The sequence below is a fragment of the Homo sapiens genome, chromosome 17 (genome assembly GCF_000001405.40).
Source record: "Homo sapiens chromosome 17, GRCh38.p14 Primary Assembly".
NCBI classification, from domain to species: domain Eukaryota; kingdom Metazoa; phylum Chordata; class Mammalia; order Primates; family Hominidae; genus Homo; species Homo sapiens.
In genome coordinates, this window is record NC_000017.11 from 4,931,931 (window position 1) to 4,945,474 (window position 13,544).

General features: G+C 55.0%; 3 protein-coding genes across 25 annotated transcripts, besides 12 other annotated features; 2 read left to right on the forward strand and 1 right to left on the reverse strand.

Moving 5' to 3' along the window:
• On the forward strand, positions 347-3,093 carry GP1BA (glycoprotein Ib platelet subunit alpha). Its single transcript, NM_000173.7, has 2 exons — positions 347-435; positions 669-3,093. The coding sequence occupies exon 2, from the start codon at positions 675-677 to the stop codon at positions 2,631-2,633; it is 1,959 nt and encodes a 652-aa protein (NP_000164.5). The 5' UTR covers positions 347-435; positions 669-674; the 3' UTR covers positions 2,634-3,093.
• Positions 2,393-2,612: an enhancer, noted in NCBI's record as "active region_11554". NCBI's record gives its function as "activates an Ori minimal core promoter by ATAC-STARR-seq in GM12878 lymphoblastoid cells {active_cell/tissue: GM12878}" and the evidence as "EXISTENCE:reporter gene assay evidence [ECO:0000049][PMID:35858748]".
• SLC25A11 (solute carrier family 25 member 11) lies at positions 5,200-8,116 on the reverse strand. Of its 3 annotated transcripts, none has more exons than NM_001165417.2 (8): positions 7,919-8,116; positions 7,130-7,282; positions 6,839-7,045; positions 6,582-6,672; positions 6,409-6,499; positions 6,224-6,323; positions 6,093-6,144; positions 5,200-5,966 (listed from the first exon to the last, which is right to left on the reverse strand). In NM_001165417.2, the coding sequence occupies exons 1-8, from the start codon at positions 7,978-7,980 to the stop codon at positions 5,811-5,813; spliced, it is 912 nt and encodes a 303-aa protein (NP_001158889.1). In that variant the 5' UTR covers positions 7,981-8,116; the 3' UTR covers positions 5,200-5,810. The 3 variants fall into 3 exon arrangements, with proteins under 3 accessions (NP_001158889.1, NP_003553.2, NP_001158890.1); NM_003562.5 differs by having other exon boundaries at positions 7,886-8,116; NM_001165418.2 differs by lacking the exon at positions 7,130-7,282 and having other exon boundaries at positions 7,886-8,116.
• Positions 5,872-6,397: an enhancer, noted in NCBI's record as "H3K4me1 hESC enhancer chr17:4841097-4841622 (GRCh37/hg19 assembly coordinates)". NCBI's record gives its function as "activates a minimal SCP1, AML or CMV promoter by ChIP-STARR-seq in primed H9 embryonic stem cells {active_cell/tissue: H9 hESC(primed)}" and the evidence as "EXISTENCE:reporter gene assay evidence [ECO:0000049][PMID:30033119]".
• Positions 6,398-6,923: an enhancer, noted in NCBI's record as "H3K4me1 hESC enhancer chr17:4841623-4842148 (GRCh37/hg19 assembly coordinates)". NCBI's record gives its function as "activates a minimal SCP1, AML or CMV promoter by ChIP-STARR-seq in primed H9 embryonic stem cells {active_cell/tissue: H9 hESC(primed)}" and the evidence as "EXISTENCE:reporter gene assay evidence [ECO:0000049][PMID:30033119]".
• Positions 6,924-7,449: an enhancer, noted in NCBI's record as "H3K27ac-H3K4me1 hESC enhancer chr17:4842149-4842674 (GRCh37/hg19 assembly coordinates)". NCBI's record gives its function as "activates a minimal SCP1, AML or CMV promoter by ChIP-STARR-seq in naive H9 embryonic stem cells {active_cell/tissue: H9 hESC(naive)}" and the evidence as "EXISTENCE:reporter gene assay evidence [ECO:0000049][PMID:30033119]".
• Positions 7,956-8,025: a silencer, noted in NCBI's record as "silent region_8051". NCBI's record gives its function as "represses an Ori minimal core promoter by ATAC-STARR-seq in GM12878 lymphoblastoid cells {active_cell/tissue: GM12878}" and the evidence as "EXISTENCE:reporter gene assay evidence [ECO:0000049][PMID:35858748]".
• RNF167 (ring finger protein 167) lies at positions 8,162-13,292 on the forward strand. 21 transcript variants are annotated; one of them, NM_001370304.1, is made up of 12 exons: positions 8,338-8,430; positions 8,557-8,796; positions 8,943-9,063; positions 9,147-9,227; positions 10,411-10,536; positions 10,647-10,734; positions 10,921-11,011; positions 11,249-11,354; positions 11,496-11,589; positions 12,466-12,537; positions 12,628-12,708; positions 12,785-13,292. In NM_001370304.1, the coding sequence occupies exons 3-12, from the start codon at positions 8,980-8,982 to the stop codon at positions 13,084-13,086; spliced, it is 1,125 nt and encodes a 374-aa protein (NP_001357233.1). In that variant the 5' UTR covers positions 8,338-8,430; positions 8,557-8,796; positions 8,943-8,979; the 3' UTR covers positions 13,087-13,292. The 21 variants fall into 21 exon arrangements, with proteins under 21 accessions (NP_001357232.1, NP_001307285.1, NP_001307288.1 ...); NM_001370308.1 differs by having other exon boundaries at positions 8,993-9,063; NM_001370303.1 differs by lacking the exon at positions 8,338-8,430 and adding an exon at positions 8,162-8,300 and having other exon boundaries at positions 8,557-9,063.
• Positions 8,166-8,235: an enhancer, noted in NCBI's record as "active region_11555". NCBI's record gives its function as "activates an Ori minimal core promoter by ATAC-STARR-seq in GM12878 lymphoblastoid cells {active_cell/tissue: GM12878}" and the evidence as "EXISTENCE:reporter gene assay evidence [ECO:0000049][PMID:35858748]".
• Positions 8,588-8,782: a silencer, noted in NCBI's record as "fragment chr17:4843813-4844007 (GRCh37/hg19 assembly coordinates)". NCBI's record gives its function as "represses an EF-1alpha promoter that drives an FKBP-Casp9 reporter gene in an ReSE screen in K562 erythroleukemia cells {active_cell/tissue: K562}" and the evidence as "EXISTENCE:reporter gene assay evidence [ECO:0000049][PMID:32094911]".
• Positions 9,116-9,245: an enhancer, noted in NCBI's record as "active region_11556". NCBI's record gives its function as "activates an Ori minimal core promoter by ATAC-STARR-seq in GM12878 lymphoblastoid cells {active_cell/tissue: GM12878}" and the evidence as "EXISTENCE:reporter gene assay evidence [ECO:0000049][PMID:35858748]".
• Positions 12,282-12,825: an enhancer, noted in NCBI's record as "H3K27ac-H3K4me1 hESC enhancer chr17:4847507-4848050 (GRCh37/hg19 assembly coordinates)". NCBI's record gives its function as "activates a minimal SCP1, AML or CMV promoter by ChIP-STARR-seq in naive H9 embryonic stem cells {active_cell/tissue: H9 hESC(naive)}" and the evidence as "EXISTENCE:reporter gene assay evidence [ECO:0000049][PMID:30033119]".
• Positions 12,460-12,509: an enhancer, noted in NCBI's record as "active region_11557". NCBI's record gives its function as "activates an Ori minimal core promoter by ATAC-STARR-seq in GM12878 lymphoblastoid cells {active_cell/tissue: GM12878}" and the evidence as "EXISTENCE:reporter gene assay evidence [ECO:0000049][PMID:35858748]".
• Positions 13,380-13,429: an enhancer, noted in NCBI's record as "active region_11558". NCBI's record gives its function as "activates an Ori minimal core promoter by ATAC-STARR-seq in GM12878 lymphoblastoid cells {active_cell/tissue: GM12878}" and the evidence as "EXISTENCE:reporter gene assay evidence [ECO:0000049][PMID:35858748]".
• Positions 13,440-13,529: an enhancer, noted in NCBI's record as "active region_11559". NCBI's record gives its function as "activates an Ori minimal core promoter by ATAC-STARR-seq in GM12878 lymphoblastoid cells {active_cell/tissue: GM12878}" and the evidence as "EXISTENCE:reporter gene assay evidence [ECO:0000049][PMID:35858748]".

The window sequence follows — 13,544 nt, forward strand, 5'->3', positions numbered from 1 at the left end:
TATTTTTAGTAGAGACAGGGTTTCCCCGTGTTGGTCAGGCTGGTCTCGAACTCCTGACTTCAGGTGATCCGCCCGCCTCAGCCTCCCAAAGTTCTGGGATTACAGGCATGAGCCACGCGCCCGGCCCTGGAGAGGTTTTTAAAAGATGGCAGAAGGCTGTTTGGAGGAGTCCACCCCCATCTCCCCTGTGTAAAAGGAAAGCGGAAGAGAGAACCACAAAGAGGGCCTGGGGGAAAGCCGTGGAGTGAGGCGATAAGGGCTTGTGTCCAGGGGATTCCCGGTCACTGGAATCCCTATCAGGCCTGCATTTCCTCCTCACCCCCATCCCCTTCCTTGCCACTGGCTTAGTCCTCCATGGGGCTAGAAGAGAGAAGGACGGAGTCGAGTGGCACCCTAGAAGACGCTCTGTGCCTTCGGAGGTCTTTCTGCCTGCCTGTAAGCCGGGGTTGGTGCTGGGGCAGGAGAGGGGTCTGAGGGAGGGGAAAGAGCCAAGGACCTGGAGCTAGTAGTTTTAAGTTCTGCAGGCAAGGGTGGGAGATGGGAGTAGGGAGGACAGGAGGTGTGGATGCTGTTTCTGGAAGCGAAGCTGCAGGGGGAAGGGGGCTGGGGCCTGGGGGGATGCTTCCAGGGGATGCAGGGGGATCCACTCAAGGCTCCCTTGCCCACAGGTCCTCATGCCTCTCCTCCTCTTGCTGCTCCTGCTGCCAAGCCCCTTACACCCCCACCCCATCTGTGAGGTCTCCAAAGTGGCCAGCCACCTAGAAGTGAACTGTGACAAGAGGAATCTGACAGCGCTGCCTCCAGACCTGCCGAAAGACACAACCATCCTCCACCTGAGTGAGAACCTCCTGTACACCTTCTCCCTGGCAACCCTGATGCCTTACACTCGCCTCACTCAGCTGAACCTAGATAGGTGCGAGCTCACCAAGCTCCAGGTCGATGGGACGCTGCCAGTGCTGGGGACCCTGGATCTATCCCACAATCAGCTGCAAAGCCTGCCCTTGCTAGGGCAGACACTGCCTGCTCTCACCGTCCTGGACGTCTCCTTCAACCGGCTGACCTCGCTGCCTCTTGGTGCCCTGCGTGGTCTTGGCGAACTCCAAGAGCTCTACCTGAAAGGCAATGAGCTGAAGACCCTGCCCCCAGGGCTCCTGACGCCCACACCCAAGCTGGAGAAGCTCAGTCTGGCTAACAACAACTTGACTGAGCTCCCCGCTGGGCTCCTGAATGGGCTGGAGAATCTCGACACCCTTCTCCTCCAAGAGAACTCGCTGTATACAATACCAAAGGGCTTTTTTGGGTCCCACCTCCTGCCTTTTGCTTTTCTCCACGGGAACCCCTGGTTATGCAACTGTGAGATCCTCTATTTTCGTCGCTGGCTGCAGGACAATGCTGAAAATGTCTACGTATGGAAGCAAGGTGTGGACGTCAAGGCCATGACCTCTAACGTGGCCAGTGTGCAGTGTGACAATTCAGACAAGTTTCCCGTCTACAAATACCCAGGAAAGGGGTGCCCCACCCTTGGTGATGAAGGTGACACAGACCTATATGATTACTACCCAGAAGAGGACACTGAGGGCGATAAGGTGCGTGCCACAAGGACTGTGGTCAAGTTCCCCACCAAAGCCCATACAACCCCCTGGGGTCTATTCTACTCATGGTCCACTGCTTCTCTAGACAGCCAAATGCCCTCCTCCTTGCATCCAACACAAGAATCCACTAAGGAGCAGACCACATTCCCACCTAGATGGACCCCAAATTTCACACTTCACATGGAATCCATCACATTCTCCAAAACTCCAAAATCCACTACTGAACCAACCCCAAGCCCGACCACCTCAGAGCCCGTCCCGGAGCCCGCCCCAAACATGACCACCCTGGAGCCCACTCCAAGCCCGACCACCCCAGAGCCCACCTCAGAGCCCGCCCCCAGCCCGACCACCCCGGAGCCCACCTCAGAGCCCGCCCCCAGCCCGACCACCCCAGAGCCCACCTCAGAGCCCGCCCCCAGCCCGACCACCCCGGAGCCCACCCCAATCCCGACCATCGCCACAAGCCCGACCATCCTGGTGTCTGCCACAAGCCTGATCACTCCAAAAAGCACATTTTTAACTACCACAAAACCCGTATCACTCTTAGAATCCACCAAAAAAACCATCCCTGAACTTGATCAGCCACCAAAGCTCCGTGGGGTGCTCCAAGGGCATTTGGAGAGCTCCAGAAATGACCCTTTTCTCCACCCCGACTTTTGCTGCCTCCTCCCCCTGGGCTTCTATGTCTTGGGTCTCTTCTGGCTGCTCTTTGCCTCTGTGGTCCTCATCCTGCTGCTGAGCTGGGTTGGGCATGTGAAACCACAGGCCCTGGACTCTGGCCAAGGTGCTGCTCTGACCACAGCCACACAAACCACACACCTGGAGCTGCAGAGGGGACGGCAAGTGACAGTGCCCCGGGCCTGGCTGCTCTTCCTTCGAGGTTCGCTTCCCACTTTCCGCTCCAGCCTCTTCCTGTGGGTACGGCCTAATGGCCGTGTGGGGCCTCTAGTGGCAGGAAGGAGGCCCTCAGCTCTGAGTCAGGGTCGTGGTCAGGACCTGCTGAGCACAGTGAGCATTAGGTACTCTGGCCACAGCCTCTGAGGGTGGGAGGTTTGGGGACCTTGAGAGAAGAGCCTGTGGGCTCTCCTATTGGAATCTAGTTGGGGGTTGGAGGGGTAAGGAACACAGGGTGATAGGGAGGGGTCTTAGTTCCTTTTTCTGTATCAGAAGCCCTGTCTTCACAACACAGGCACACAATTTCAGTCCCAGCCAAAGCAGAAGGGGTAATGACATGGACTTGGCGGGGGGACAAGACAAAGCTCCCGATGCTGCATGGGGCGCTGCCAGATCTCACGGTGAACCATTTTGGCAGAATACAGCATGGTTCCCACATGCATCTATGCACAGAAGAAAATCTGGAAAGTGATTTATCAGGATGTGAGCACTCGTTGTGTCTGGATGTTACAAATATGGGTGGTTTTATTTTCTTTTTCCCTGTTTAGCATTTTCTAGTTTTCCACTATTATTGTATATTATCTGTATAATAAAAAATAATTTTAGGGTTGGGAGTGATGGCTCATGCCTGTAATCCTAGCACTTTGGGAGGCCGAGGCGGGTGGATCACCAGAGGTAGGGAGTTCGAGACCAGCCTGGCAAACATGGTGAAACCCTGTCTCTACTAAAAATACAAAAATTAGCCAGGCGTGGTGGTGCACACCTATAACCCCAGCTACTCGGGAGGGTGGGGCAGGAGAATCGCTTGAACCTGGGAGGCGGAAGTTGCCGTGAGCCAAGATCGTACCACTGAACTCCAGCCTGGGTAACAGAGTGAGACTCCGTCTAAAAAAAAAAAAAAAAAAAAAAAACTTCTGGCCGGGTGCAGGGGCTCATGCCTGTAATTCCAGCACTCTGGAAGGCTGAGGCGGGTGGGTTGCTTGAACCCAGGAGTTTGGCCCAGGCTTGGCAACATGGCAAAACCCGACCTCTACAAAAAATACAAAACATTAGCCAGGTGTGGTGGCATGCACCTGTGGTCCCAGGTACCTGGGTGGCTGAGGAGGGAGGATCACCTGAGCCTGGGAGATGGAGGCTGCAGTGAGCCCTGAAGGTGCCACTGTACTCCAGCCTGGGTGACAGAGTGAGAGCCTGTCTCAAAACAACTTGGCTTCTTTTGGTGAAGAGTGGCTGGGGCACCTGTCATGAGAATTCACAAGGCTCCAAATGCCCTACCCTGGTCACAACTACTTATCCAATAGACCTCCAGTTACAGCCTACACTTCCCCTGCCTGGGGTGCCTCCTCTCCTCCAGGGCTGGCCACCCACCAGGCCACCCCAGGCATCAGATCCAGCTCAAAAATTGCCTTCCTGGAGTTTAATGACAACTGCTGGGACCTACCTGGCAGCAGCCTGCAGTACTAGGGGCAAAGGTGGGTGCCTGCTTTGCACCTGCAGCCTCAGAAGTGCAGCTCTCCTCACTGCCCAGGTCAGCAGGACAGCAAGGGGTGGACCCTGCAGCATGCACCATCTTGGTGTGACTGAATAGTCTTGGGTTTCCTGCTCTCAGGCTGGGACACAGGCAAATGGAACCCCATTTCTTTTCTCATAAATCCTGCCATTCTCTAAACACACTGGTGTGGCTTCCTCTCCTGCCTTGTCTCCAGCCCAATCCAAGGCTTGGGGCCCAGAGAATGGGACTATGGAGACCCCCATCCCCCTCCAGATGGTCCTGAAGATCTCCCAAACCTGAAAGTCTGACCGAATCTCTCCCCAGGTGGAGGACCAACTCCTGAGCTTGGCAGTCAGGGAGTGCCAAGCACTGACCCCATCTGACAGTCCAGCTTCATCTCAAGGGAGATACCTCACAGTCTGTGCTCCAACTATCACAAGCCTATAGATCACCTGCTCCCCAACAGTGTTTTACTCTAAGCCTTTGCCCTCAGTCCAGCCAGGTGTGCTATCCTTGCCCCATCCCCAGCCAGTCTAACCACTCAGTCTGCAAGTCACTACTCCCAGGCGAGGCCAGGTGCTCCAAGTTACCCTGCAACACTATTGCTACACTCAGTTTCCCAACTGCTCCTGTATAATCTTGTCTTCTGGACCAGGAACTCCTTAAGGACAAGGTCTAGGCTTCAGGCATCTCACAATAGCCACCAAGGCGCAGGACAGTGTACACAGAGGCAGCAGCAGGGGCGCCAGGATGCTGAGCTCCACCTCTTCTGCTGATGAGGCTCTGCCAAAGGGACAGCTCCCACCTGCTGCCTGCCTGTCCCCTAGCCTGGCAAGCACTCCTCAGTTTGACCTTCCCAAACTCTCTTGTGCCCCAAGAGGTTTTAAGGCTCCTTGAAGGCTGGCCTGGGAACCACACATCTTCTAAAGAAATGGACAAGGTTCTCACTCTCCCCAGCCAAGGACCCAGATCAGGTCTCTGGCCAGCATTCCCCTTTCCTCAAGCTTCCAGTGCCCACCCACTTAAGCCCTGGCCTTCCACCTGCACTGCCTCCAGCCCACAGTGGTCTGACTTCCTCTCTAAGTCTCTTTATTTCCTCCCTCTTTAGGCTGCAGAAGCAGTCATCAGACCGAGGGGCTTTTCCTGGGGATTATGTGAGATGATCTGGGCATCGGTGGCATTCTTGGGCGAGTGGCTGGAGGAAACACACCGGGCCTGGGATTTGAGTTTTTCTGGCCCTGTCAGCTGCTGTGGCATGACAGATTTATACAGCATTTGCAAAAAACCAGCGGCTGCTTTTTCTTTAACAATTTTTCTTAAAAACTCCAGTTCCTATTCTCCAGCTTCTTTGTCCAGTCTCCTCCCCTCTCCTAGCCACCCCCCAGACTCTCCAGATTTGGGGCTGGTGTCATCAATCCAATTTATTAAGTCCTCAATGAGGGGGAGGAAGGGCCACATCTCCCTCTGCAGGCCCTTTGACCATCTTGATGGCTTCTGCTCCTCCCTGTCCCCTCAGCTCTGCCTTGGTTTCCCCACTGACAAAGGGGATCTTCTGCTGTCCTGTGTGCCCTGAAACTAAAACCCAGGGGGAGGCCAGAAATCCTCAGAAGTTTTCCAGCTCCCTGCAAGAATAGCCAAGGACAGAGAAATCACAGGATCAGGACGAGCAGGGCAAGCTGGAGCAGGGGGTAGAACAGACCAAGTCCTTTACCGCAGAGGAAGAAACCACACTGTGGAAGGGAAATAAATAGAGGGGTCCAGGGCAGCAGAGCCCAGGCCCCCAGGGCGCAGTGGCTATAGGCGCAGCAGGCGAGTGGGAGCCCCCGGCCGCTTCAGCCACTGAGGAAGAGACGCTTGTAGGCCTTGTTCATCTGCTCCAAGAAGATGAAGGTGAGGACGGTGTGGGGGCCCAGGCGGGCATAGTACGGCGTGAAGCCCTTCCACAGGCTGAAGAAGCCCTCGTAGCGGACAACTTTGAACAGCACGTCCTAGACACAGACAGGCAGGGCGCTGGGGCTAGGACTCTAGGTCCCCATCCCCCTCACCCAGCTGCCTTCACACCTTTCCCAGGGGATCCGACACCCCCTCCCAGGCCCCCAGAATGGCTTCCTCACCAGCCCGTTCTTGTATTCCGGCTTCCCATCAATCATCCGCATGTTCTGGATTCTGCAGGAGAGGACGCAGGGGCATGAGAGACCGAAAGGGCACCCTCCCACCCACCTCCAGGCCCAGGCTGCACACTCACCGGGTCTTGGCAATGTCCACAGGCATGGAGGCAGCAGTGGTGACAAGACCGCTGATCATGCTGGCACAGAAGTGGCACAAGATGTTGTCAGAGAAGTAGCCTGGGGGAGGTGAGGCGGGGGTGGCAGTCAGCTCAGAGGTGGCTCAGGCCAGGCTGGGAACTAAGGGCCCAGCTCTGGATCTCACCTGAGTCCAGTAAGAACTGCTTGGATTGGGAGTAGGAGGCGAGCTGGGCAGCATTGACGACGACGGCCCGAGCCATGGTAGGGATGCAGCCCTGGAGGGAGGGGAGCGGGGAAGAGTCAGAAACCCCTAAAACCAGACCTCACAGCCCCCAAGTCTCCAGCCCCTCCACTCACCCGCCACAGTGTGAGGACACCCTCTTCCCGGGTGATTCGAATCAGGGCGTTAAACACATTTTTGTAGCCACGGCGCTGGTCAGCTGGAAGCCTGGTGGGAAGGCAGAAAGAGGTCAAGATCAGGATTGCCCACAGGTGCAAAGAAAGGAAGGCCAGAACAGGTAAACACTCTGCTCCAGATCCGGGATAAAAAACTGGTCCTTTCATTCTAGATTCGAGGGAATGGGGCTGGGGTTAGGTTCAGACTTGGAACTCACCGGCCATCGGCAGTCATGCGGATAAGAGCCACTTCGGCTGGTGTTCCCACAAAGGCACCAGTGGCACCTGCGGTCATGCCAATCACAGCCTTCAGCAGAAAGCCAGGGGGAGTACCATCAGCCCCAGTCAGGCGCTCAAACAGCACGGTATAGATGCCAAGGCGGGTAGTGGTGTAGGTGGCCTGACGCAGCAGGCCAGCCGACAGCCTGAGGAGCAGAGGGGTCAGCATATCAGGCCAAGGTCTAGAGCTGCCAACCCACAGTCTACCCTCCATCCTGAGGCCCCAATACCCAGTGTAAATGCCCCTCAGGCCTTCTGCCTTCAGGATACTGGTGAGGGCATGGAAGCTGGTTTTGTACTCTCGAGTCTTGGCCCCTTCCCCGCTCAACTGCATCCGGTTCTTCACCAGGTCCAGGGGCTGGACAAAAACTGTAGCTCCCATCCTGGGGGAAGACAGAGGTGGAGTGAAGGGCCAGGCATTCCAGATCTACCAGTGCCCACTGGAGCCTGGCAGCAAGAGGTTACAAAGGTCAGGGCCTGCCATGCGATTCAAGAATCAGGATGCTGGTGAGCATGTGTATAAGAGTCTATATGTACACCAAGTGCAACGGGTCTGAAAAGTCTAGTTGTCCAGTAGGGGCCATGCAATGAAAGTGCTCCAAGCAGCTTCATGACAGTCAAGCAGTGACCTGGGGCTGCACGCAGTCCGACACAGGGAGGGGAGGAAGGGGCATCCAAGATTTAGGACTCCAGGTAGTCCTGCAGGAGCCATTTAATGGCCTGGAACCCCCTGCCGCCCGGCCGAGCTTAGCAATGCGCTGGGAAACTCAGCTGGCCCGGCGGGGGTTGTGCAACGACCCTGCATGCAGTCCATAAGGGTCCTGCAATGGGGCCCTAGCAGCCCATCGGGGAACTCGCAATACGCTGGAGATCGCGCTGACCCCGTGCCGGCACAGTTCACTGCAACAGACCCAGAGATGAACCGGGCCCGGTTCCTTTTGCCCTTCCCTTCCTCCTCTTTTCCCATCCCTGGGGCCTGAGCTTACCCGGCCAGGCCCCCAAACAGGAACTTGACGGACTTAGGGGAGGTACGGGGCTTCCCGTCTATCCCGCCGGCCCCGGCACTCGCCGTCGCCGCCATCGCCACTCAATGGCCCTCGGCTCCGGGTCCCGTGCGCGCGCGGCCCCGCTCGCGCCCAAGGTGACACCGCGCGCGCAACAGAGCGAGGGCGCGCGCACGCCCCTCCAGCTCTCAGGTCCGACACCCGCTGGAAGCCGGCGCGGGCGCAGGCGCGCAGCGCAAAGGCGGCCGGGAGTAAGGCGGAGCTGAAGGAGGAGCTTGATGGAAGCGTGCGAGAAGGGGCGTAACTGATTTGGAAACCAGAGGAAAGGCGCTGTTTTCACCGAATTAGAATCGCGGGAAAATAGAGAAGAGTTTGTTTGAAGGTCTCGCGAGATCGAGTGAGTACGGCTCGCCAAGTTGGAGCGCTCTCGCGATAGACACAGCAACTATTCAGCTGCGAGGGGACGGGAGAGGTGGTGAGCACTCTCGCGAGATTTGAAGGAGCGGCGGAGGCCAGAGGGAGGAGAGGTTTGTAAACTAGGAGGCTCCGGGTTTCCGGGCACTTTTATTAGGTCGTCTTCTGGGCCACCAGTGCCCCTTCCATCTCCACAGGCAGTCCCTCCATCGCTAACCTTTTTTTAACCGGCCTTTTAGGACCGGAAGTCCTTCATCTCAAGCATCCAATGCTGAAAGCGGCCTGATTTTCTCTACCGGAAGCCCTTTTCCAGAGGCTGGGAACACGGCCCACCTAGCAGGAAGTCCCACCTCCTTGAGCTCCGCCACCCTTCCCGAAGTTTTTCTGTCACCTGTGTTAGGCTCCGTCCCCTTTCCGCGTTTTATCCCCGTACCAGAAAAGGATACATTTAGTGCCTCCCACCCAGCTCCACTAAACGGGTTGGATATCTCATTCTTTGAGTTGGTGTTCCTTCCCCGGCGCCCCCATGTAGCTGGGAAGTGGGACCTGGGGGTGGTTGGACCCCTGGGATCCTAAAGGAGGGGCAGGGAGGGCGCAGAACTCCGCTTCTGCTCCTTGCTACCAGGACGCGCGGCCTCCTCAGCCTCTTTCCTCCCGCTGCCATGCACCCTGCAGCCTTCCCGCTTCCTGTGGTTGTGGCCGCTGTGCTGTGGGGAGCGGCCCCGACCCGGGGGCTCATTCGAGCGGTGAGTCTGAGGGACGGATGGGGAAAGGGCGCTGAAAGGAAGGGTTGCAGGCTGAAGGGGAACATCGCCTTTTTTGTCCGCAGACCTCGGACCACAATGCCAGCATGGACTTTGCAGACCTTCCAGCTCTGTTTGGGGCTACCTTGAGCCAGGAGGGCCTCCAGGTGATTTTCTTTCTTTTCTTTTCCTCCTTCCCTCCCTTCCTTCCTTTTCTGTCTTTTTTCTTTTTTTAGTATTTCGCAAGATCCTCCATCCTAGGCTGGGGTTGGGGAGGTTTGTCCTGGGTGAAACTGGAGGTAGGAAAATGAAGTTAGGAACTGAGCACGTCTAGTGTAGAACCCAGAATCTAGAGGGAGAAGACAGAGTGTCCACCCCTGGAACTCCGAGGTTATCAGGGAGACTGAAAGTGGACGAAGACAGAAGGCAGGATCAACGGTCCTTATCAGGAAGGTCTCAGGTGCTAGTTATTGCTTATATGACTTTGGGCAAGTTAATCTCTCTGAGCCTTAGTTTGTTTTACTGTAAAATGGGATATTAGAAGTTTTCCTAGGGTTATTGTGAAGATCAAAGTAGATACGCAATTTTGGTAGTATTTCATCCCAAAGACTGCCACATAGCAAGAACTCAGTTGGGCCTTAGTAGCAGTCGAGTTGTTTGTGAGATGGGTAATTAGAAAATTGAAGAGGCCGGGCGCGGTGGCTCACATCTGTAATCCCAGTTCAAGACCAGCCTGGCCAACATGGAGAAACCCTATCTCTACTAAAATGGCAAAAATTAGCTGGGCGTGATGGTGCACGCATGTAGTCCCAACTACTTGGGAGGCTGAGGCAGGAGAATCACTTGAAACCGGAAGGTGGAGGTTGCAGTGAGCCGAGATCGCGCCACTGCACTCCAGCCTGGGTGACAAAACGAGACTCCATCTCAAAAAAAAGAAAAACAAAAAGAAAACTGAAGGGAGGGGAGTGTGTCTGTATGAGTATGTGCTGGAGAGGGGACTGTGAAACAGAACTTGAGAGAAAGTGACATGGGTGGTTTGAGAATTGAATTACAATTGGAATATTAGAAGGCAAAAATAATTGCATTAGCTTGCAGTATAGGGTACAGATTAGCCCATCTGGGACAGCGAGAGGGATGATGGGAGAGTTTGGTGAAGGGATGTTTTATGTCATTGCCTTTTCAAGAGGCTAAGAGAAGGTTGTGATGGTGGGATGCTCACTCAGACCCCAGGAAGGAGGAGGAAGTGAGGATAGAGGATGTGCAGCATGTGGGCTGGTGTGTTTGGTGGCCCCTGTAGAGAGCAGAATCTAGAAAGGAGAAATCTCACTGTTGTTTGCTTCCATCCTTCAGGGGTTCCTTGTGGAGGCTCACCCAGACAATGCCTGCAGCCCCATTGCCCCACCACCCCCAGCCCCGGTCAATGGGTCAGTCTTTATTGCGCTGCTTCGAAGATTCGACTGCAACTTTGACCTCAAGGTTGCTGAATGAGGAAGGGGAGCTGGGCAGCTGAGGGTAAAAAAAAGGCACCAGGAATGAAGACAGGTAAGGCCCATGATGGCTCCTTGTCCTCTGCCTTGTCTCCCTAGGTCCTAAATGCCCAGAAGGCTGGATATGGTGCCGCTGTAGTACACAATGTGAATTCCAATGAACTTCTGAACATGGTGTGGAATAGTGGTAAGGCTGGGGGAATCTATACAGCTGGGCTTTCAGTAGGACCCAGAGATGGTGGGAAGGCTGAAGGCCTCAGGAAAAGAAGCCAATCCTTTAGGTGGGGTGGGGCCAAAGTGCAAGATGCCAGGGTTCCCAGAGGATTTGAGTAGAAGGTTGTGAGTCCCCAGAGTAACACCTTGATCCCTGCAGAGGAAATCCAGCAGCAGATCTGGATCCCGTCTGTATTTATTGGGGAGAGAAGCTCCGAGTACCTGCGTGCCCTCTTTGTCTACGAGAAGGGGTAGGACATGTGCCTCCTTCCCATTCTTCCTTCAGCAAGCAGTTCCATGCCAACCTGGAGCCCAGGCCTCCTCATTACCCGAACCATTCAGCCTCCTGTCCTTCCTTCCCTGCCTCTTTGACTTTCTTCCCATTCCTGTCCCCACCTATGGGCTTTGTCCAGAGCCAGTTACTTTGTCCCTCTTTTTTTCTCCCTTTGCCTTTCTCGCCCTGCTGAGACTGGTCATCCTTTTCCCAGGGCTCGGGTGCTTCTGGTTCCAGACAATACCTTCCCCTTGGGCTATTACCTCATCCCTTTCACAGGGATTGTGGGACTGCTGGTTTTGGCCATGGGAGCAGTAATGGTGAGTAGCTGAGGGAACATGATGGGAAGCACTGAGGCCTGTGAGGCCAGACTGGATCTGGAGTTGGGAGATGGGAGTGGCTTGTCCTAGATTGTCTAGTTTTGTTCCTAAGCCTTGTCCATCCACCCCCGCTTCCCCCAGATAGCTCGTTGTATCCAGCACCGGAAACGGCTCCAGCGGAATCGACTTACCAAAGAGCAACTGAAACAGATTCCTACACATGACTATCAGAAGGGTGAGGGGGTTAGGGGAGAAGAGGGCTTTTCCCACAGTTTACCTGGTTCTGAAGGACTTTGAGCCCAGAAGATAGGGTATACAAAGATGGCAGTGGCCGGGCACAGTGGCTCACGTAATCCCAAGTGCCTCTAATCCCAGTACTTTGGGAGGCCAAGGTGGGCAGGTCACTTGAGCCCAGGAGTTTGAGACCAGCCTGGGTGACATGATAAAACAGAAAAGTCCCAGCACTTTAGGAGGCTGAGGCAAGTGGATCCCTTGACCCCGGGAGTTCAGGCCAGCCTGGGCAATGTGGTGAGACCCCATCTCTATAAAAAAATAAAATTAGCTGGGCATGGTGGTGTGCACTTGTAGTCCCAGCTAATTGGGAGACTGAGACAGGAGAATCACTTGAACCAGGAAGGCGGAGGTTGTCGGGGGCTGAGATTGCACCACTGTGCTCCAGCCTGGGCGACAGAGGGAGTCCCTTTCTCAAAAAAATAATAATAAAAATAAAGATGGCAGTAGGAAGGTTTCAGCTTGAGATGCTGTCTTTTCTTCTGTTTTTATGCATAAATACAACGAAGACGGGAGAGGAGATGGAAAGCAAAGATGATTAAGTGAAATAATTGTGGGAAACAATAGAGGGATAGACTTTGCTTATAGGGGATGTGGACAGAGCAGAAAAATGGGAGGAATGGGGAGGATTCAGTTAGAGAAGGAAGAAACCGGTACCAAGGGGCTGGGGCTTTAGGCCCTGGGGCCTCCAGTGCCCGTATAAGGCTGTGGCAGAAGCCCTGCCCATTTCCGTTCCTTCCACTCCCTATCTCCACCCTCACACCTCCCCAAAAACCCACTTCCCTTCTTACCTCTGCTTCTCTTTGCTTGTCCCTTCTAGCCCTAAATTCTTCCATGTTCTGCCCTGACCTTATCCTGCCTACCTGTCTTATCTCTTCCACTGGCTTTGTAGGTGAGGGGAAATTTTTGCAAGGCTTTAAAAGCCTTAGCCCTGGGTCATTGTGGCTCAGTGAAGGACTAGATTATTTTCTTTCTGTCCCAGGAGACCAGTATGATGTCTGTGCCATTTGCCTGGATGAATATGAGGATGGGGACAAGCTGCGGGTACTCCCCTGTGCTCATGGTGAGGCCCTCACTGCCTGCCCATGCCCCTCTGCCACCAGCAGCCACCAGGTGCTTCACCTTGTTCCTCTCTGCAGCCTACCACAGCCGCTGCGTGGACCCCTGGCTCACTCAGACCCGGAAGACCTGCCCCATTTGCAAGCAGCCTGTTCATCGGGGTCCTGGGGACGAAGACCAAGAGGAAGAAACTCAAGGGCAAGAGGAGGGTGATGAAGGGGAGCCAAGGGACCACCCTGCCTCAGAAAGGACCCCACTTTTGGGTTCTAGCCCCACTCTTCCCACCTCCTTTGGTTCCTTAGCCCCAGCTCCCCTTGTTTTTCCTGGGCCTTCAACAGATCCCCCACTGTCCCCTCCCTCTTCCCCTGTTATCCTGGTCTAATAACCCCCCACACATACACCTCTGGTGACCTATTTGCACAGACCGTCGTCTTCCCTCCAGTCTTCTGAGGGATAGGGGACATTCCATCCCAAGCTTCTCCCTTACCCACACCTATCCTTTTGAGGGGCTTTGGGGTGGAGCTGGGGCAAGCAGAGGGACTGGGTCTTCACTTCTTGGGCTAATAAAATTGTTTCTTTGTGGACTAAGGAAGGGTAAGATCATTCTCACACAGGTGAACTTAACCCTTTGGTGGAATCACCCCTTTAGCCATAAGGAGCAAGGGAATGCTGAGAGACACTAACCTATAGTCATGGGGACAGCCCCAGCCGGCATTTGCTATGACTCAGAAGGGGGAGCCCCACCCACAAGGATGACTCAACTAGCCCTGCCTTGCCTGCAGGCCTGCACCCATTCTCTGGTCCAGATGGCTCTATTCCATCATCCACCAATTTGACCAG

Coding starts and splice junctions, on each gene's coding strand:
- RNF167 (NM_001370303.1), top strand. CDS start 8,980: ATGCACCCTGCAGCCTTCCCGCTTCCTGTGGTTGTGGCCGCTGTGCTG. Junction 11,590..12,465: donor TACACATGACTATCAGAAGG/GTGAGGGGGTTA, acceptor TGTCCCTTCTAG/CCCTAAATTCTTCCATGTTC. Junction 12,538..12,627: donor CTCTTCCACTGGCTTTGTAG/GTGAGGGGAAAT, acceptor TTTCTGTCCCAG/GAGACCAGTATGATGTCTGT.
- SLC25A11 (NM_003562.5), bottom strand. CDS start 7,980: ATGGCGGCGACGGCGAGTGCCGGGGCCGGCGGGATAGACGGGAAGCCC. Junction 6,673..6,838: donor CGCATGACTGCCGATGGCCG/GTGAGTTCCAAG, acceptor CCTTCCCACCAG/GCTTCCAGCTGACCAGCGCC. Junction 6,324..6,408: donor GCAGTTCTTACTGGACTCAG/GTGAGATCCAGA, acceptor CACCTCCCCCAG/GCTACTTCTCTGACAACATC.
- GP1BA (NM_000173.7), top strand. CDS start 675: ATGCCTCTCCTCCTCTTGCTGCTCCTGCTGCCAAGCCCCTTACACCCC.